At 39.8% G+C, this 23,220-nt stretch overlaps 1 protein-coding gene across 3 annotated transcripts in view, besides 1 other annotated feature; it reads right to left on the reverse strand.

The window, feature by feature from the left end:
* Nucleotides 1–23,220, reverse strand: part of JAZF1 (JAZF zinc finger 1) — a 350,219-nt gene that overhangs the window by 243,047 nt on the left and 83,952 nt on the right. The gene's annotated exons all lie outside the window — the stretch shown is intronic.
* Nucleotides 1,661–4,529: an enhancer, noted in NCBI's record as "VISTA enhancer hs1430". NCBI's record gives its function as "enhancer in: limb[11/12]" and the evidence as "EXISTENCE:transgenic organism evidence [ECO:0001131][PMID:17130149]".

Below are 23,220 nucleotides of genomic sequence, written 5' to 3' on the forward strand. Positions count from 1 at the left end.
GAGCCCTCACGTCTCATCACAGGGAACGTGCTTATTTACGTCACATATGCATTATTGCCCCTGCCCGGGGCAGTGCTGGCTGGCAACCCCAGGAGGAAAAACCACTCTGTTGTGGCCATTTTCAAAGAAACTCACCTACATGCAGAAGTCCCTGGATGTGTGAATTTTCTTTGCAACAAAGGGAAAGAAGGTCCAGTGATAGTCTCATGATTACATGGTCAAAGGGGTTGATAAGAAGCAAAACATAAAATAAAATAATCGTAATTAGAAAGAAATTGCATAAGAAAAAAGAACCTAAATGCCAAGTAAATTCAATTATTTAAGAGTAGATGCTTGAAAAAAAAGTTTACTTAGTTAAAAAAAAAAAAATCAGAGGTGAGGCTTTTTCCCTTCAACGTATTCTATTGCTTTCTTATGCTTTATTATAAAATTAGCTAACAGTACTGTACAGGGTCATTGCAACATTTTCTAAGTGCCTCATGTCTACCTATGTGTTCCTACTTTTCCAGGCCTCTGGGCAAGGATGTTTACATTATTTGTCCTAAGTAATTAATTTGCCCCAAATAAGTTAAAAAAGTCAGTGTCACAATGTCAGAAGAAGGGCCATGAAATGTTTGTTGAGGTCACTGGAAGAGGCTAACTTGTGGCTAAATTTAGTAATTATTTCTTTCATAGGAATAATTCCAAAGTTTGAGTCATGGAATAGAGAGGAAACCTGAAATGAGATTTTAATATTATGCACAACACCTTAAAAAGCCAACAGGAAAGCAGTATCCCATATGAAGCAGAAATCCAAGCTAAAGAAGATATGGGAAACAAACAAAACATTGTGGAGAGCTTTTAAAAATCAGAAACAGAAATACACATATGTATGTACTTATGTGTACATACACACATACATACAGAGTCCTAGTTTTTGTTGATGAAATAAGCTTATTTTTATGAAATCAAAAAAGATTTGTGGCTTAATAAATATGTTAGAAGAAATGAGCTATTTGAGTAAGCTGCTACTTAGCAGGAGTAAGTTTATAAAGGAGTTTATAAAAATACTTTTATAATTATTCTGATCTTTAAATTTTGCATAATATTTCTCATTAATGAAGACAACCCTGGCTTGTCTGATGTGTGAAATTGTTTATTTTTAAACTGTATTTCAAATGAAATTAACTGACATTATTATACACTGCCTCATTTTAGGACAAAGACTTCCACTCACTGGAGAATCCACTGTGAATCCCATGAGCACAGAATGAGACTTCTTAATGACTAGTCTAAGCATTTATAAAAAATGTCAACCATTAACGACAATAACAACTACTCCTGAATTGTGTCCTCATTTTCTTGAAAGAAATGAAGAGGTAAAGGACACACGTCCCAGGAAATCAAATCCACTTTTAAAGAACTGTCCTCAGAAACCAAGCAGGCAAAAGGGAAGAGGTTATGGGCATGTCGCTAGAGCCAAGCTGACCTGGGTTCAAAGCCTTACTACACTCACTGCAAATTTATGACCCGGCAAATCAACACATCTCTCCAAACCTGTGCATCCTCGGGTATAAAGTAAGTGTAACAGCATCTACCCCACAGGGCTGTTGGCAGCATTTTCCAAAATGAAGAATGTAAAGTTCTCCCTCAGTGATAACCCCTCTCATCATTACTATGCCCCAGCATCCCTTAATACCAGAAGCTTCTCCCCACTCCTCCTGGACCACAGAAGCTCATTTATTTACTTACAACAGGGCATTTACCTGATAGTGAGCTAAACTATCCCTAGAATATAAAAAGTATGTATTAAGTAAATATGAGAAAATAATTTTAAAATACACACATACAGAGAGTAAAAAAACTTTACCTCCCTCCATCTCCACTTTTCCTGATTTTTACCATAAACAATTTAGTATACTTTCTTCCAAACCTTCTCTGTCTACCTATAAATGTATATTGTAATTGGTTGGTTTTCCCCAAAAACCACATCATGCTCTATAAACTGTTCTATAAGTGACTTACTTTACTTAACAACATAAAACAGACAGTATTATTCTTTTTAATGGCTGCATAGTGTTTCCTATAGTGAATATACTTTACTTAAGCACTCCCCATATTAATGGATATTTAGGTGAATCCCATTTTTTGCTATTAAAAAAAAAGGCTGTGCACTATTTTTAGGGTGGAATTCTAGAAATGGGCTTGCTAAGTCCTTGATTCATTTGAAACTTAATTTGACACTGGTTATCTTGACCACAGTGACATCAGATCATAAATATGGTCATAATGACATCATAATGGGAGAGACAAGAGATAGAGAACTTCTACAGGTATTCAGAGCATTTTTTTTCTTTTGGACATAAAATGAATCCATTGTACAAGAATGCCTTCTCCCCATTCTCAGTGCAGAGACAAAGCTGACAAGCTTAAAAGTGCATGTTTAGGATTCTAGACTTGGTTTAACTCAAATGGCCTTGATTGGATGGGGTCCCTCTGCAGTATTAAAACTGCTCTAATTGCATTCTTCAAGCCAGCTGAAGGCTGACAGCTTCCGCTCCCGGCTCATTATCAGAGCACTTCAAGGGGCTCCATTATGAGCAGAGCACCTGGTCCAAATTTATTTCAACGGCCCAGAGCAAAATGGGAAGGTGCTTAATGTTCAACCACAATGGTGACATTTTTATGAGATATCCAAGGTTCAGAAACAAATAAATGAAAGGTTTGAAGGGAGCATGAACAGAAACTGTGACAATAAAAATTCAACATTGATATATCAATTTAAAAACATATACCACCCATACACTTGGGGTAAGGCCAAAGGTTCAATGCAGGCTAACCAGAAAGAAAAAGAAGAAAAAAGGTCAATACTCAACTCCTCCCATGACTGGCTTTGCTAAAAAAGACTGATGAAATTCTAAAAATGTTTAAGGAAATCAGAATGAGATGCGAATTCTGAATTCCGGTTAGGATAACAATTATGTTATCTATCTGCACCAACATGAGAACGAAAGAAAATCCAAGTGGAATTCAGAGTGAATGCTAAATGTATTATGTTCATAGTTTTTCTCCGGTTTGCTTACACAATTGCTGTCTTTCTCTCTCTCAAAAAAAAAAAAAAAAAAAAATCCCGTGTGGAAATGAGTAAGTTAATAATTCCTTACAGATGTTTCCATAAGAAAACATTGTGCAAATATATATTTAGAATTTTTTAATAAATGTATAATAGGGAAATTTTTCCAGGTAGATCATAGCAGGTCCAAAGTAAACATGACATCCTATTGCATAAATCCATATCTAGAGACTGCTTGTCAAGTGGGATTTTGCTCTCTGCGGCTGAGTACTTGCAGAGATCTTAGTGTGTAGACGACAACCAATTTTAAAGCCCGAAACCCAGCTGCAGAGCATTAGAAAGCTCTACCCTCCACTAAGAATCTGTTTAAAGAATGTTAAAATAAATATTTGTATTCTTTCACTAAACACAACAACGACACTTACATTGGAATCTAAGAAAATGATGAATGAAAAATTATAACACCGGCACTTTACAATGGGAATGCTGACTAAATCGGAACTATACAAACTGGGAGGATTTACTCAATGTTTAGTCTCTTAAGAAAAAAAGAGGAGGACAATTAATCAACTACATAGAAATTTTTTTCAGCTATTAGTTGCTTTTGGTCTTGTGATTTTATCTTTCTCAAGCATTTTCCCTATTAAGCCGACCATACAGATGTGCAATACATTAATCCGCCAGACTATAAAGGCTTTAATTATTTTACTGATTTAGAAAGGCAATTAGGCAGCACCTATTTTTCACGTATTGATTATACCGACTCTGGTTTTAGATCTGAATTCATGAATCATCAGGTAACTGGTATAACCACAAAAAAAGGCTACTGGAGCCTTTTTTTTTTCTACAACAAATAAATAAAAGCACTTAAAATTAATTACCTGATAGAACCACCTTAACTACAAAAAAAAGTGGCAAAATCCCAGTAGAATAAATTTGGTATATAAGTCCTCCAGCAAAGTGACCACTTGTCTGACTGCTTGCAGGCCACCCAGTGTTAGGTCTTAGAATTTGGGAGCTTAGAAAAATCTTCATCTGGGTGTACAAAAACAGGGTGCTTTGTTTTGGTTCTGATTTAGCCTTGCTTCTGCCTTTACTGTATTCTGCTCTCTCCTTTGAAACTACTTAAAGAGCTGGAGCTCTGGGAGTCCATGGGGAATTTCCACGTTCACCATGGAAACTGAGGAAGTGGTAATTTGGATTATGTACATCCGGGTCCTGATTTCTCCTTCACTTTGACCTCTTTCTCCTCCCCATCTACTATTTAAGACCCACTATGTAATCTAGCTCAAAATAACTGAGACTGCAATGATGGCTGTGCATGGTGGCACTTATGAGACAAATAATTCCTGGCCTTTCCCATCTTTATGGAACAGAAGAAAACATAAGTCTTGAAAGTTTTCACAAGATGCTGTGTTAGATGAAAAAAATTGAGAATTTTTCCCATAGAACAGATGTTTCCTAGGTTTGTACAGCCTCTCAACTGTACATTAGGAAGTCACTCGTATGATGATAATGTACCACTTACGGGCAGGATGGTATAGTGGCAAGAGACTTGGATTCAAGCACTGCATGGCATTTATCAGCTGTGCAACTCTATGCAAATTATCTTTAAGCCTTTCTAGCATTAGTTTCTCCATCTATAAAATGGGAGCGATTATGCATGCTTCACCCATCACAGAGAACTGCTGAGACCATCATATGTGCATGTGAAAATGCTCTCTAAGCTGGAAACTAGTGTCATAAACGTCATTTCTTTTTGCAGAAGCCATCTCCATGCAATCACCTACACTGCCCTCTTGCGGTAGGCAGGCTGCATTGCTACTCAAAGGCAAAGAAAATTATTTTGTGAACTGAAGATTGTATTACTACCAGATTAATTTCATGTAACCAACTCTTAATTGCCAGGCGAATAGAGAGAGGGCCACTTGACATGAAATATACAATTCAAAGGATCTACTTGGGTTTTTTTTGTAATGCCATTTATGAACAGTGAATCCGGACACTATACTCTGGCCCCTTTTCTTGCACTACTAGTCCATGATAAAAATTTTTGAAAAGTGGAAAACACTGGAAAAGAAGAGAAGCAGCAGATCAGTTGAGTATTGGTGAAAAGTCCTACCTTCCCTGTTACTTTGGACATGGATATTAAAGCCAGTGAAAATGTTCATAAAAATTGTAGGAACAAAAAGCCATCCATAGTTTTGCCTGTACTCTAGAACTAGAATAACTGACTTTTAGAATTGGTAGGGACCTGAGATGCCACATTGTTCCTCCTCCTTTCTTTACAGATGGAAAATCTAAAATGCCCATAATTTTTTTTTTTTTTTTTGAGACAGAGTTTGCTCTGTTGCCCAGGCTGGAGTGCAAGTGGCGTGATCTCTGCTCACTGCAACCTCCACTTCTCAGGTTCAAGCAATTCTCCCGCCTCAGCCTCCCAAGTAGCTGGGATTACAGGTGCCCACCACCATGCCAGGCTAATTTTTAAAATATTTTTAGTAGAGACAGGGTTTCACCAAGTTGGGCAGGCTGCTCTTGAACTCCTGACCTCAGGTGATCCGCCTGCTTGGGCCTCCCAAAGTGTTAGGATTACAGGTGTGAGCCAACCACACCCGGCCATGCGCATAATTTAAAAGATGTACCTCACTTGGACTCTGATCACCAAATTCCATCACAGCAACCACCTTCACTTGGAGCTGCCTCCCGCTTCTGTTTTTATCACTTCTTAACTCAAAATACATCTTCAATCCCATTTTTCTCTGACAGACACTGATATAGAATAAGAAATACTGGAAAACTAAGCCACGAGGAGCAAAATAAAATATAAATATCACTTAAGGGAATTCATTATGAGAAATCATAAAACTGACAAGTCTCCTGAACAAAAATGACCTGAGAGTTTACCCATAGGTTAGCAAATATTAAAATAATGATAAGGATGACAACCACAAGCAAATCAATACATGCTTGCTGATGAACTGAGTAGGAACTTAAGAACTTGGCGCCTCTCTAAAATTTTTAATTAGAAACATTTAATTGTACTCACTATGTAGTAGGCCATGTTTCAAATGCTTTCTTCTAATCTCATCACAACATCCAATATGCTGTTAATAACCTTTATTGACTGCAGCATCGGTTTACGAACCCTGCTGATTGTTCAGCTAGCACCATGGATCAGGGAGTAATCTAGATGCATAACTCAGAGATACTGCTGGTCTGGTTCCAGACCATTGCAATAGCAAATATCACAATAAAGCAAGTCACACTAATTTTTTGATTTCCCAGTGCACATAAAGTTATATTTACACTATACTGTAGTCTATAAAGTGTGCAATAACATGTCTTTAAAAAGTATATATCTTAATTTTAAAATATTTTATTGCTAAAAAATACTTTGTAAAAATGCTTATAGTCATCCAAGCTAGATCTTCTGGATAAATTGTTGCAGCTTCTCCATCAGCACTTGCTGCCTCACTTTGCACTTTCACCTTACGGAGATGGCTTAGTTTCCTAAACTTCATGAACCCAACTTCTGCTAGCTTTCAACTTTTCTTCTGCAGCTTCCTCACCTCACCCAGCCTTCATAGAATTGAAGAGACTTGGGGCCTTGCTCTGGATCAGGCTTTGGCTTACGGGAATGTTATGGCTGTGTTGGTCTTCCATCCAGAACACTCAGACTTTCTCCCTATCAGCAATAAAGCTGTTCTGCTTTCTTATCATTCATGTGTTCACTGGAGTAACACTTTTAATTTCCCTCAAGAACTTTTTCCTTGCATTCACAACTTGGCTAACTGTTTGGTGCAAGAAGCCGAGTTTTCAGCCTGTGTTGGCTTTCAACATGCCTTCCTCACTAAGCTTAATCCTTGCTAGCTTTTGATTGAAAGTGAGAGACGTGTTACTCTTCCTTTCACTTGAACACTTACAGGTCATCATAAGGTTATTAATTGGCCTAATTTCAACACTGCCATGTCTCCAGGAATAGGCAGGCTCAGGGAGAGGAAGAGAGACAGAGGAAGGACCTGTTGATAGAGCAGTCAACACATAAAACATTTATTGATTAAGTTCACCGTCTTATATGGGTGCAGTTCATGGCACCACCAATTACAATAGTAAAGTCAAAGATGACCGATCACAGATCACAATGACAGATACAATAACAATGAAATTTAAAATATTGCAAGAATTACCAAAATGTGACACAGAGACATAAAGCAAGCACATGCCATTGGGAAAATGGCCATAAACCTACAATTTGTAAAAAAAAACAAAAAAAAAAATGCACTGTCTGCCAAGTGTGGTAAAGCAAGGTGTGCCTGTAGGGGGGAAGGGAGGGCATCAAAGTTCCTCAAAAGATACAGAGTAGTAAGCTGGTAAATTAGAGGAAAAGTCAAGAAAACCTCGTGGGGACCAGCACAGGAAAGGCAGCTGGCAGAGATAAAGCAGGCCTTGCATTCTTTGACCTCAGGGCAGCGGGGGACATCTCTGGGATGTGACCCAGTCAGGTTAAGGTTTTGAGACAGGGCTAAGCCCAGTGTTGTTACTCTTCAGTAAGCCTGGAATGGAGCCAGCCCCTCCCCAAGGAAATCACATAACGATGAGGAAGCCACATGCAGATAAACAGTAAATGAAGACAGGATGACCAGCTCGGAGGAACCAACACCAACATGGGGGAAGGAGTGCGGGAGTGCCTGGGGGGCTGTGCCTGCAGAGGGGAGCAAGAGGGAGAGCATCCAGCACTTCGGGGCACCAGATGCTTTTTCTAAGGTTTGGTCATAACCAGCACCAAAAAACAGCAAGCTGCGCCATTCCCCCAGCTATTCTACTTCTTCACGCTGCTTAGCTGGGGTTTTGGGGACTTGAAAAGTTACCTGGGGCTACAGAACACAGTGTCCACGCACTTGGACAAGCTGGTGAGCCTGGGGCATTGTAGCGGCCTCTGCTCCACCCTTTCCCCTTGTCCAGAAGCCTCGACACCACCAGAGAGCGAAGTGGGACAAGACCCCAGGGAAGAATTTAATAAAACATCAAGGCCAGGGAGTTTGTGATACTCAAAACTTTGTGGAGGATGGGTCAATCTGCATTTATATGTGTTTCCATCTTTCCAGAGAGAGAAAAAAATTAACATGGACTGAATTTTCTCTATTTCTATTAATTCACATATTATGCCATTTTCATTACCACAAAATGCTGCACTCTTATGCTTTCTTAAAAAGATCACTATAGTAAAACTATTAATCTATATACCTGGATGATACTAGAGTTTAATAACCATTTATAGAATAAATCAATGACTGACAGTAATATTAAGGGGCTAAATAAGTTGATCTCTAAAATTACTTTCAACCTAAAAATGCTACATTCTGCGATAACAATAAGTTTATTATTTAAAAGTCCTTAGGCTATTTTAGAGTAGAGTATGTTTGATGATTATGAGAAAGTATCTGGAGACTTGAAACTTTAGCCTGCTAAAGTATCCTTTAGACAGGTCCCTCTGACAAAATGAAGTAAGACCTGGTAGAATTTCTCAGACAAATCATGCCAAAGCATCACCTCCTTCAAGACAATGCATGGGGGCGTGGGGAGGCGAGGATGTCACTCACCCTTGCAGCCCTTGTCTATTTGGCTTTCTCTGCAACATTTCACTGGGCTGAGGAGTGTTCCTCATTGAACTCTCCTTCCTGGGCTTCCCGTTGCTCTCCCGCCTCTGCCCGTTCACTCTACTCCTGTGCAGGCTCCCTTTTCTCTGTCCACCCTTGGTGAGTCTTTGACCTTGGGGATCTTCTTAGGTTCTCTTCTCATACCACACGGTCTTTCCTCTCCTGTGATTTTAGTTAATATCTGTATGCTGATGGCTCTCAAATCTCTTCCTCCAGCTCCAGCTGCCTATTGGACATGTATAACCAGTAGCTCCCCACGCTGCAGTATGTTTGAAGCTCCCTTGCCCTGGTCTCCCTCCTCGCAGCCTCTTCTGGGTGAAAGGCACATGTCCCACCAGACACCCATGAGCCATCCTTGGCCCCTCTCTGGAACCTTACCCCTCACATCCCATAAATCCCCAAGGACTGTGCATCCACCTGCTGAACATCACCAAAGTCCACTTCCAATTCCACTCCCAGTGACTGCAAAGGGGGCCTTTGCCTCGGTGCCACCATTACTATTCCCTGCTCCACAAGGTAGCCAGGGCCAGCTTCTCAAATGCTGACCTGGACACCTCATTCCCAGCTCAGAACCCACCAGTGCCTTCCTTCAGTCTGTGAGAAAGTCAAAACTCCTCCAACTGGGATTGCAAAGCCCTTCCAGAGCTGACCACCACTGAGTGCTCTGGCCTGTCCCTCATGGAAACACATTTTCTCACCTCCTTTGCTTCTGCTGTACTCGTGGATTAAAATGTTTTCCCTCATCCAAATCCCCTCTACCTGGCTGGGGCCATTGCCTTCCAGCTTTTTGGCTTCTGGTAAGTTTTGCCTGAACCCCCTCAATCCTAGATCAAGCGCCCCTTCCACATGCTCTCTTGGGGTTCACATCTCTCAGTTTAGCCCTTGTGCCTCAAGTGTAAGTTCCTGTAACGTCTCAGTATCCCTGCCCCACTCGTGCATATACCCTAAGGCTGTCTCACTCATATCACAACCCCAGAATCTGCACAAGGCCTACCACATGACAGCCACTCAACGGATATTTACTGCATAAACTCATGATTATGAATATTTTAGTACCTGACCTATGAGTTATTGATACGTAATGGGAGTACCATGGGTTGCAGAATAACACAGACCTTGTTTCCCATCCCAGCTCCACAGCTCACATGCTATGTGAACTCAGAAAATGTATGGAAACTTTTTAAGGCTGTTTGCAAAGCTGTAAGAGCACGACCAACCACTTACTTCACAGGGTTGCCGTGAAGACTAAAATACACACAGCATATGAAGTGCCAAGAGTGCTGTATTATTTTATATTTTTCAAAATGCAGTGCTACAAACTTCTTTATCACTATGTCAATTAATGCTACTGCTGCCTTAACCCACAGGCCATCAGATACATTTTTAAAGTTCTTTATGTGAGCATTATTCAAGGAAAAGCCTTGTCCGCTGACCCAGCCAGTAAAAACATTGGGCCCTGACATTGGGTAAGAAATGTTGCTTACAACATTGTAACATTGTTGCAACATTGTCTTACCCAATGCCAGGGCCCAGTGCTATTACTCAAGCAGGCTGGAACATCCAACAATTTCTGCCAGCCTAAGAATTATTGGTATTGCTTTTACATGTTACATTTTATGACAACAAGTCTAACAATATAAAGCAAATAGTGAAATAGCTTGTTTCTTTCCAGGATTATCGAATGAGGGCAGAAGATGTCATGGGTATATTTTGATAAATATTTCAGGCATTACAAACAATACTGAAATATATGCCAGTCTTGTAACCATCACACTGCAACATTTTCTGCTGCCTTCTGAAGACTGTGGAAAAGCCCCCTTGCAAGGGAGGGTGGAAGGAAGAGAGGGAGTTTCTCAGAAAGAGAAGAGAAAAACCTAACACTTGCCCAGTATCATTGTGGGTTTAACAATTTTGCTTTACTGATTTTATGGCACAATCTAGTCTCCCCATATCCCCAAAACAAAAACAAACTAACAGCAACAACAAAAACCCTTTCCATCAGGCCAACTAGTGGCTTTGGAACCAATTACAAAGTACTATGAGATGACTCTTTAAATGAAAACTCTTAAGCTATTCACCAAGTCAAGTACATTGTGGGAGCTGAACTCCCACTTCAAAATTTGGGTTCTGACCACGGCCTCCAATCCAACCTCCCTCAAATTCCAAGAGAGTTAATCCTGGCTTCCCGTCAGGAAGTTTGCTCTCACAAACTTGTAGAAGTACTGGCTATTAAAAAGTGTATGGGTTCTTTTAGTCTTTCTGTGCCATGGTCAGTAAGGGCACAAAACAAATCCTGAGCTTCTAAGGGTGACCCCACCCCACAGCGGGCAAGCAGCATCATGCCATTGCCATGCCCAGGAGGGAGACATGGAGATGGCCTTGGAGCAGCTCTGGGCAGGCTCCCTCTCTCTTCACACAAGAGGCAATTTATGTTCTAGGTCAGAAAGGATGTTTGTTGTCTGCTGTGGTTTGAATGTTTATCCTCTCCAAAGTTCGTGTTGCAATTTAATCCCCAATATGGCAGTATTGAGAGGTGGGGCCTTTAAGACGTGAATGGATTAACATTTATGGATTAATAGGTTCATATGGGATTGGGGCTGGTGGCTTTAGAAGATGAGGCAGAGAGACCTGGGCTGGCATGTTTGCACACCTCAGGACTCTGTAGAGTCCCCACTTGGAGGAAGGCCTCACGAGATGCAGCCCCTCAACCTTGGACTTCTCAGCCTCCATAACTGGAAGAAATAAATTCTTTTCTTTATAAATTACCCAGTATCATGTATTCTGTTGTGTGCAACATTGTCTTGCCAAGGTGGCTCAGTTCATACTATATTTTCCAAGGCTTGCAAAAACTAAGCTTTGCCCTAGTATTCTTGTTGAGAAGATCTGAAACATATGATTTTTATGTGGCTAACAGGCATAAAATCCCAAAGACATTAATACAGAATGATTTTTTAAATATCTTCTGATATGTACCATACCATGTTTAAAATGTTCCCTTCCAGTTTAAAATGTATGCTCTAACTATACAGTATTTCCTTAGAAAAACTGAACAAGATGAGCAATAAGAAATCCTATTTATTTAAAATGTTTCTCTTTAAAGTACATAAAACTTGAAATTTTTATATGCAGCTTAGGTCTTCATAAACCTACAAATAGGTAAAGGGAACACTTAAATCTTTTCCTGAAAATATCTTTGTTTCCCCAGACTAAGACCTCATATTCAAAGTGTCATCCCCCCGTGATTTTTTATGACCACGTTATAAACCCCTCCAAAAATGGGGTTTACAATGGAAGTGTTGACATCATGTTAACTATTGCTTTGCAAACTGAGCTCAGTAATCAAGGCCCATTATATTTATGAGGCAGGTAAAATCTGTAGCCATTAATCACAGAGCCATATTGACAGATTCTAAGTTTGAGGTCCAGCAAAATTAATGTATCCCATTTCTTATATCATTGATACCAAGAAGAAAATTTGCAGGCAGCTTCATAATTGTGAGGCTTTTACATTTTTACAGAAATCCAGAGGCAGACTTGTTGAAACATTTCATTTATTTACACCTGCTGTGGTCAGTTTTTGCACATCTGCAAAGTACTAGAGAAGATTTTTCTTTCCCATAGATAATTCATGAGAATTACATGCATTTGCACAAACACAGCCTTTATTAGAAGAGCACTGCAATCATGAATTCTATGTATCCATATGCCTAACCCACACTGGGGTTGTATCAAATTGTGATTAATTACCAAAAGAATATTCCACTCCTAAATTATAATTCAACATCCCTATATAAAACAATCTGAAATGTCAGCACTCTGTCTTTATGACATCATGCCATCCCAATAATTCTGTTTTACAAGTAAATTCCTATTATACATTAATAAGGGCTGTTGGTGGCTAAACATCTTGCCTCCCCAGTAATGACTAGGTTGAAGGCAATTAGAGCAGCCAGGTGCAGCTGAGCTGGGTACTCATAAAAGTTTTTAAATTTTACTGTTTCCGTTTCATTTGGGGAGGTGCATTCCAATCTGCCCAAATTAAAGAGGAAGCTCTGCCCATGTTTTCAGCTGTTGTGTGTTCTAACCATTACTGATAAACCCCTTTAATATTTCTTTGCTCCTTAGGAGCTGATGATCTGAGGAGTTCAAGTTTCACCACGAGCATCTATATTTCACTGCCTGTCACAGTGGTTACTCCAGACACACATATACATGTGCACACACACAGTCCCAGGGTAACAGAGCAGCACCTTCATTTAAGACTTTCTGGGGCAGCCCTGAGTAGTAAAATTGATGCATGAAAGAAAGAACTTTACTCACTTTGTTAACATGTTTTTGCTGTAATTAGTTTGGGTCAGTGGAGGAGACATCAAATTAAAGTTTTATGTCATAATAGGAGCGATGATTTTCCCATTACAAGAAAATCAATTTCCTTCTACAAACTACCAACACTACATAAAAGAATTAATAAGTGTAAAGACTTAACACATCTGAAGCAAGAGAAAAGGTTACCACTGATGATGACAAATATCCTTAGAAGTAGAATTTTAAAAAGAGTTAACAACTTCCCCACAGTAGTATTATAAGGGTGATGTACCCTGGGAAATTTTCCTACCATTCAGAAAACACAGAGCCCTTTATTTAACTTACTATGTGTCTTTCTTCTCTTTACTCTGTAACTCATACTAATCAATTTAATTTAATTCAGTTAAAACATTTTTAACGTTATAAACAATCAGTTTTATGACATCAAATGACTGACCTAAGTAGGTTTTTATTTAGCTTTCAACAAGTTATATGGATACTCTACACATTAATGATCAGATAGACAAAAGTAATTATGTAACAGCTGCTAATCCAAGGACCAACACCATCCTTAAAAGGTGGATTCATGTTGATGACAGTAAGACAGGGTCTCACTTGATTTCAAGAATACATCAGCCAGAGCTATTCTAGGAATCAATCTTGGAAGGGCCCCTTTAGAAGTAAAAAAAAAAAAATCATATTCCATTTAATTTCAGAGGGCAAAATAGACGTGACTGCCTCTGAATGAGAACAGTCCTCAAAAGTGATCCCTAATTTTTGTCTAGGTGGTTTGGGGAATTTTCCTTTTTGTTTACTTCATTTTTGATATAAAGTTTACATTTACCAAAATAGGATTTAAAAAAAAATAGAGTAGTGCAGCATTAATTCAGAAAATAACGTCATTCAGAAATGTACTGTTGGTCTGTATTAACAACCAACCTCTCCATTTTCTGAGGGGAAAAAGGACACATAAAATGAAGACCCTTTGCATACAGTTAATCATCTCTTGCTTCTAAGCAAAGAAAAATTTATCAAGGACTCATTTTCTTAGGATAGTGAGCTTTAGAATGTCATCAGTCGACATAAGGTTTTTCAAAATTCCTAATCAGGAAGAATGCAAGGAGGAGGTCATTTGTCTATATCAAAGAAGGAGCACCAAAATCTAGATTTATCTTTGTTTCCTTCCTTTTGTTTTCCTTAATCAATGAAAATGTCCATTTTAAAAAGGAAAAAAATAGTCAAAATCAGTATTCTTGTATATTTTCTTTCTCCTCTCCACTTTTTTTTCCTAGTGGGAATACAGGAGATAAAGAGAAGGCTTTGACAAAGGGCCTTTATTTCTTTTAAGCAATTACCAAGACAAGTCCTGCTTCCCAGTGGATGTCTCCCTGCCAGCTTTGAACTACATCCTTGCCCCCCTCATACAGATTAGATGCCCTACATTAACAGAAACAGCCTGAAAACCAGGGGGTCTGAAAACACATCCCTTCACGGAGCTTAACAGTCACTCAGGGTTAACACCACGGGGCTACAATCTGCTGCAAGAGACAGTGGTGCAGGGACATGGTAGCCAACAGCAGTTTCAACTGGTATCATGTTCCGAAAGTTTCATCACTTTTAAAACTGCAACTTCTACATTTTTCTGCAAGTCTCTCTTCCGCATTGCTAAATCCTTTCTGGATTCTGAGATATTTTGCTACTAGGAGCTAGCTTTCTTACTGGCTCCCTGTGCCTTATAAGGAAATTAGGCAATACATTAATAAGTGCTATTGGTGGCTCCCTTCTGACCACTGAGCCACAACTAGGTTGCAGGTAATTAGATCTAAAGGCTCCACTGTCAAACACACCTTTCCTTTTCCTAATTACATGAGAAAACCTCAGTAAGTCCCAATTTTAATAATAGTGCTTCCTGCCACAGGGATCAAAGTCAGAGATGTGTGTGATGAAGTGTAGCTAGGTTTGTTTAAGGAGTGTCTCCTTTTCCTTCTACTTCCAACCCTTGTCCTAATATCTCCCAAAGAAAAGGGGGCCTGTCTCCATTCCCAAGGACTGGTCCTCTGATTCTCCTCTGTTAGAACTCTGTTATTTTCACCTGCCAAACCACCACTATGCCATTAAATCACTATTTGCATTCTGTTGTCCCTTGTGTTTCTCTTTTATTGTTTTAAGCAGGGATGGATGTTTCTGTGAGTTTACATAATCTCTCTCAGGATAAATTCATTCTTAAACTAATAATGGGCTTGATTCTCATGTTAATTCCTCCCTTCAATTAATTTTATTTTACCAACATCTCCAAACTAGGAGGACACTGGACAAATCATCAGCACTGCGCATACTCATCATATTTCCAATCATCACCAATTTCCAACAAGAATAAAAATGCTCCCAAGACATAATCTCCCATTTGGATACACTTGGTCATCACAGTGCATTCCAATGAGCAATACAAGAGGAAAATAATAAAACAGAAACAGAAAGCAAAACAATAATAGTACTGAATATTTAAGGAAACTTAAAAATCTAATCCCCAATGTGATGGTCTGTGGCGATGAGGCCTTTGGGAGGTAATTAGATCATAAGAGTGGAGTCCTTGCCTATGATGGGATTAATACTCTTATAAGAGGGGACTTGAGAGAACTTGCTTCCTCTCTCTCTGCACTATTTGAAGACAGCAAAACCACAGCCATCTGCAAACCAGGAAGAGGGCCTTACCAGACCCAATTATGCTAGCACCTTGATCTTGGACTTCCCAGCGTTTAGAACCATGAGAAATAAATACCAGTATTCTATTATAATAGCCCAAGCTAAAACAGAAATTGGTACTGGGAAGTGGAGTGCTGCCTTAACAAATACTTAAATATGTGGGAGTGGCTTTGGAACTGGTTAACGCGTAGAGAGGCTGGAAGGTACATGCTAGAAAATGTTGACATTGCTGTGAAGGGACTTTGGAAGGTGATTCTGGTGAGGGCTCAGAAAGAAAAGAGGAGAGATATATAGAAAGTTTTCATCTTCTGGGAAAACACTTAAGTAATCCTGTTCAGAATGTCGTAGAAATAGGGATGGTCCAATGAAGGCTCAGACAAATGAGGAACATGTTATTGAATAATTAAGAAAAGTAAATTCTTGTTATAAAGTGGCAAAGAACTTGATTGAACTGTGTTCATGTACTAGTATTTTGTAGAAGGTAGAATTGGCAAGTGATAAAATTGGCTATTTAGCTGAGGAAATTTCTAAGTGTTGAAAGAGGAGCTTGGTTCTTCCTGACTACATATAGTAAAATACAAGATGAGAGAAATTGAGATGTGAGGGAAACAAGAAACTCCGTGGTGAGATTACATCATTTAGATTCAAAAGTCCATGTAAGATTTGGGTCCCCAAGAAGTTAACCACAGGTACCATCAAATCCAGTATGGTGCCATTGTCAGTCAAGAATCAAGGTTGCCTGCCAGGGCTTCAATCCCAATATCCACTGTAGATACTAACAAGTTACTCAACCTCTTTAAACCACACTTTCCTCAACTTAAAAATCAGTTTAATGATTGAACCTACCTCATCGGACTATAGTGAAGATTGGATAAGATTGCCTGTATAGCTCTTATAGTGCCTAACATACCTTATGAACTCAATGAACATTAACTGCCATTATCATCATCATCACCTTCTTCATCATGAACAACAAATCTCTCTGCTTAACGAAGATGCTAATATCCAGTCAAACTGCAATCTTAATACTGGGTTTCCCCAGTTTCTTCAATAACTGCCTAACTTGCCCATTCATCTTATTTTTCATAACTTTAAACATTATTAAATCAAAGCATAAGACTCTAGTATAAATTCTAGGCCAATTACATGCCAAAAGGAAATTATTTTAGTGTTACAGTGCATTCTTAGCATTATCCTATTCTATCTACATGAAAAGTAAAAACTCACTCTGTTTAAAATATCTCCTTTGAGCATCACAATATCCTCCAACACAGGTACTAGTACTCCCACATAATAGAGAAGAAAAGTGAGGCGGCTTCACTGCCTAATCTACCCAAGGCCATAGGCTAGTAATTAGTGGAACCTGAATCAAAGCCAGCTTACCCGACTTTTAACCACACCTCCTCATTCTCTGTCTTCCTCTTTTCCTATTCAAGCTCTTATTTTTTTTTCTATTCCACAGACTTTTTTTTAGTTGTTTTTTTTTTTTTTTTTTTTGAGACGGAGTCTCGCTCTGTCACCCAGGCCGGACTGCGGACTGCAGTGGCGCGATCTCGGCTCACTGCAAGCTCCGCTTCCCGGGTTCACGCCATTCTCCTGCCTCAGCCTCCCGAGTAGCTGGGACTACAGGCGCCCGCCACCGCGCCCGGCTAATTTTTTGTATTTTTAGTAGAGACGGGGTTTCACCTTGTTAGCCAGGATGGTCTCAATCTCCTGACCTCATGATCCACCCGCCTCGGCCTCCCAAAGTGCTGGGATTACAGGCGTGAGCCACCGCGCCCGGCCTTTTTTTTAGTTTTTTAACTTAAAAGTTAATTAAAATTATTACTATTTTTTCTAATTATATCAGGGGAAATAATGTTATTCATATTTTTACATACTTTTGAGAGATGCACTTTCTTCTGTCAACCTGAACTTCAATTTTTTATTATGTCTCAACTAGAAGTCCATATTTTCATGAATATTTAATGTTTCCTCCTAACAGTCATGTTATTTTTCACGACTATTTAAAACCACAGTTGTTAAACTAGGTATTTATGAGGCATTTTCCCTTGCTCCCAATATGCTACCATAACAATTTTCACCACTAAGAACATTCTTAAAATAGTTTAGATTTTTTTTTATTTAGGTATTTCCCATTAAATCCACTTTTTGAGAAAAGAGAATACAGTTTTACTTTCTTTTATGCTCTTAAAATCAACTTAATACTAACCTGAATAAACAAAGTCCTGAATGAAGATTTCAATGTAAGTTAAATATACATATATATTATATATATATAACATATATATATATACACACACACAGACACACACATATATATGCACATGCAGAGAGAGAGAGAGAGAGATCAAAGGAAAATCTGTTTAATGTAAACTTTATTACTTTGGGGTTTTAAAATTCAGAAATACACTTCAACATTCATATTGCTGTTAGAATAGTCGGTGTGTGTATGGCCCAACTGGAAAATATTCTCTTGTTTTAAATGATGATGGGTCCTTGAATCCTGTGTAATGGAACTTAAAAGACTCACACCTTCTACCTTAGCATGTCAATAGGTCAAAACCTTGTAAAATCAACTTGGCAATAACATTTCATGCAGTCCAAGTATGTTACCGTAGCAGAAAATTTGCTACGATGGCTTAATTACACAAGTACATGGCAACATTCAACTTCTAGTGAGAAAAGGTTTAGATTTGGGGAAACTTTTCAATATTTTCTCTTTCCTCTCATTGAGGGTATATTTGGGTTATTACATATGACTTCACATATATATGTAAACACAATGTTGTATTTGTGTATATATGTAGACACTGTAATTACATATATAAAGGGCACTCAATGGGTAGGAGTCAATGTTTAAACTATCAACTTCTAATTAGTTTCAATTTTTTTTTTAACCTGACAGCAATAATCTAAACTCTAACATCCCATTTCAGGGACAAAAGGCAAAAAAAAAAAAAAAAAAAAAAAAAAAAAAAAAAAACAACTAATGTCAAAGTAGAGGAAGAAGGAAATAAAAAGATCTCATTTTTAGAAATGACAGCTCCTTATTTTGGCTTCTATTTAGTTAAAATACACGGTTGGACTGAGCTTTGATGTTATATTGCCTGTTCAGAAAGGGATAAGCAATATTAAAAGTATATAAAAAATTAAAATAGGGAAGAAAAGGAAAAGAAACTGCTTAAACTACTTCATAGAACTGCTTTTAGAAATTTCTGGCTGGATGCGGTGGCTCACACTTATAATCCCAGCACTTTGGGAGGCTGAGGCAGGCAGAGTGCTTGAGCCCAGGAGTTCAAGTCCAGCCTGGGCAACATAGTGAAATCCCATCTCTACAAAAATACAAAAAGAAAAAAAACCAAAAAAATTAGCTGAGTGTAGTGACTTGTGCCTGCAGTCCCAGCCACTCAGGAGGCTGAGGTGGGAGGATCACCTGGGCCTGGGAAGATCGAGGCTGCAGTGAGCCGTAATTACACAACTGCACTCCAGCCTGGGCAGTAGAGTGAGGCCCTGTTTCGAAAAAAAAAAGAAAGAAAGAAAAGAAAAAAAGGAAATTTTTATCTAGAAATTTCCATTCATAGACAAATAATCAAAACATTATTTCATGTAACTTAAATATCTTTCCTAAAACATATCCCTGAAAGGGTTTCTACAAAGTGTTCTAGTTGCCATGTGCACTGGAAGAACACAGAAGGGCACAATCTTTTTAAAAGCATTTTAAAATTTTGATGTTTTAATACTTCAGTGTGACTTATCACCCCTTACTTCCCACCATTAATTAGCATCTGTGAATTTGGTGTTTGATATGGTTTGGCTGTATCCCCACCCAAATCTCATACTGAATTGTAGCTCCATAATTCCCACATGTTGTGGGAGGGACCAGGTGGGAGATAACTGAATCCTGGGGGCGGTTTCCCCCATACTGTTCTCGTGGCAGTAAGTCTTGCGAGATCTGATGGTTTTATAAGGGGTTTCCCTCACTCGACGCATTCTCTCTTGTCTGCTGCCATGTAAGACATGCCTTCTGCCTTCCACCATGATTGTGAGGCCTCCCCAGCTACACGGAACTGTGAGTCCATTGAAACTCTTTCTTTATAAATTACCCAGTCTTGGGATGTCTTTATCAGCAGCGTTATCAGCAGCGTGAAAACAGACTACTACAATGTTGCAGACAAAAAAATTACTGATTGGATAACTTCAAACTTATCTGAAAAACTTGATTCTTCATCAATTACCACTTACATATGTTCCTTTCAATTTACTAAAAATTTCTCCTGGTATATGACCATTTCACATTGCTAAAATCCAGTCAGCTCTCTCAGGCGGCGCGTTCACTGGGTTGTTTTGCCCATTCAGGGGGAAATGAAGAGAGTGCCACAGTGATAGTTCACTTCTCACCGAGCTTTGGGCAAACCCAAAAGACAGGTGCCTGCCTGCAGATGCTTGTCCACTGTCTCTTTTCAAATGCTGTAGCGCCCCCCTGTGGCAATGCCTGCAAACAAGCCAATAACAAGAATGCCTTTTAGAATGAGCTGCAGACAAAAGTAAGGGTGTGGGTGGGCAGGAGCCAGGGAGGGAAGAATGCATTCAGTGCTCAGGACAACTTGACCCTCCCTCTTCAGTATTCCATATATTCATTCGCAAAGCTTGGAACTTAGATTCTTGTGTGGCCAAAGCAAGAGACAGACATTAACTATGAAAGCACATAAATAAAATTATTTCAGACAGTGATAAATGTCCCCACCACTCAGAGGTTCAAAATAGGGTAAGGCTATGAGACATGGTAATATGCATAAATCAGCAATGTAACCCTCTGAAGTAGAAGTCAACATTCGATCTGCTCGGAGGCAACAGACATTTGTATTTCTTTTTCGGATCAAGAGAGGATCTAAAAGTAAATCGTTGTCTGCCTCCCCGATATCCCTTCTTCCCTTTTCCCATCAATACAGATCCCTAATGTTCACTCAGAACAGAGGCTACATTGCCAGCCTGAAGGTCCCACGGCTGGCAAGGAACAAGACAGAAACCAAAGGGCTGACTCGCCAAACATCAGCAGTCTCCTTTCCAGCCCCGGCACCGAGTCTCCAGGGCTGCTCGCTTCTGCCTATCCGCTCCGTAGCACGAAAAGCCTGGAGAGGCTTGGCCTGGCCTGGGTTTCTGTTCTGACACATCAGCTAACTTTTTTGCGACCCTATACACATTAATAACTTCTGTCTCCAAACTGTCATCTGCTGAAAAGCAGCCATTTATCTTACAGGAATGCCATGGGGGAAGAAGGAACCCAGTAGGCACCCAGCACTTGAAATTTTCTGGCAGAAGGAACATGGGCAAGCAGACCCGAAGCTTCTCCTTCCAGGCAAGAACACCTGCTTCACCTCCACTTATTCATGTTTTGCTTATGGTGCTTTTTAAAAATTATTATTTTTTATTTTTTTTGCCAGCTCAGCCCCACCCTGTGGCCAGAGGGGACCAAGGGCCGAGCTGCGCCTGCTCATGATGTTTTAACAATGCCCTCTTTCCTCCACTGCCCTCAATCGTCCTACCAAAGCTCCCTTAGTAAGACGACAAGGAGGAAACACACAGAAATACATGTGGAGTCCCAACAAGAAAGAAGCTCCATCCAGAAAAACTGGCACCCCAGAGAAGGGCACAGTCTCTATGCTTTGGCTTACCTGATACCCACATGTACCCCAAGGGTGTGCCATCTCCGAATCTGAGAAGCTCCCACAGCACCAAAGCCAAACCACTTTCAAGGCTCCACGCAACCTCTCCCATCTTATTCCCACAAGTCTTCAGTTTCATCCCAGTCCCTCTCTTCATTCTCCATCAAGAGCACCACAATCATTCTACATATTTGTTCACTCTGTTGGGCCTCCTAGGCAAGCCCTGTATTAGTCCATTTTTATACTGCTATGAAGAACTGCCCAAGACTGGGTTATTTATAAAGGAAAGAGGTTTAATTGTCTCACAGTTCAGCATTATCGGGGAGGCCTCAGGAAACTTACGATCATGGCGGATGGTGAAGGGGAAGCAAAACATGATCTTCACAAGCAGGGAGGAAGGAGAAGTGCCAAGTGAAGGGGGAGGAGCCCCTTACAAAGCCATCAGATCTTGTGAGAACTAACTCACTATCATGAGAACAGCATGGGGGAAACCACCCCCATGATTCAATTACCTACAGCTGGTCTCTCCTTTGACACGTGGGGATTATGGGGAGTATAATTCAAGATGAGATTTGGGTGGGTACACAAACCCTAACCATATCAAGTCCCTACCTCAAGGAGTTCTCTGGCTTTCTGCTCATCTTCAGTCCACCTGTCCTTCTAGCAGAGCCTCTGCTGCCTTCCAACAGGTAATCATGGTCCCCTCCGCTGAACGTCAAATCCCTGTGAGATCCTAAGAGGGCATCAGTCAGCTTAGGCTGCCATAACAGAATACCACAGCCAGAGTGGCCTGAACAACAGAAGCAATTCTGGAGGGCAGAAGTCCCAGATCAAGGCACCATCAGGACTGTTCTGCTGAGGCCTTGCTTCCTGGCTCATAGGCTGGCCCTCTTGCTGTGTCCTCACACGGCTGAGACGGAGAGCTCTGGTGCTCCTCCTCTTCTTATACTAGCACTAGCCTTTACTGGGCCCCAACCGTATGACTCATTTAACCTTCATCATCCCCTCAAAGGCTCCATCTCCAAATATCCTGGGGGTTAGGGCTTCAACATATGAAATTTGGGGGGGGCACAAACATTCCATAGCATCAAGGATGGCGTGAGACAGAAGACACTAAAAGGGAGAGGGATAAGCAGAACTGAGAGGGAGGCCACTGAAGAGAGAAGTGGGAGGCAGGGCCTCTGTCCGCTCTTGGAGTTGGAGAAAACAAGAATGAAGGGAACAAGAGGGCCAGTGGTTAGGGTTGTCCGAGAAGTTCTGTGGTGAGGAAAAAACTATGAGTAAAAGGCAACACTTTTGGTTATAAAGCACAATAAGCTATGACAAGAAGCAGTCCTTTGCTGTTAATTCTCTGAAGGTTAACTTGACTGGACCATATATGTCGGAAATGACCTTTCCCTTGTCATAAAAATAACTGAAACCCTTACAGACATAATGAAAATCTTACTATCCACTATTGAGCAAGGAAAAACATCTATAATCAAATTAAATATTTTGTCTTTTAAGTGCATTAGCAAAATGATTTACATAAGAACTACACTTTTCACATAATCATTCATGCATGTTGATAGACGATTCAAGGAAAAATTCATAAAACAGAACTGCAGCTCAAATCTGTTCTGAACAATTTATCTTCTTACTACAAGATGGCCAATAAGAGACTATTTTTTAACTTTTTCATTTGCAATTTTTTTTTTAATTCTCAAATTGCATCTATATCTCAAATAAAGTAATGGGAACATTCTAGCTCTGGGGTGTGGAAAAGCAGCCATGGCCGTGGGAAGCTGACTGCAAATGAAACACTGGCTTACACTGCCCTCTGCTGGTATACTGACCA

Source organism: Homo sapiens, chromosome 7, assembly GCF_000001405.40.
Source record: "Homo sapiens chromosome 7, GRCh38.p14 Primary Assembly".
NCBI classification, from domain to species: domain Eukaryota; kingdom Metazoa; phylum Chordata; class Mammalia; order Primates; family Hominidae; genus Homo; species Homo sapiens.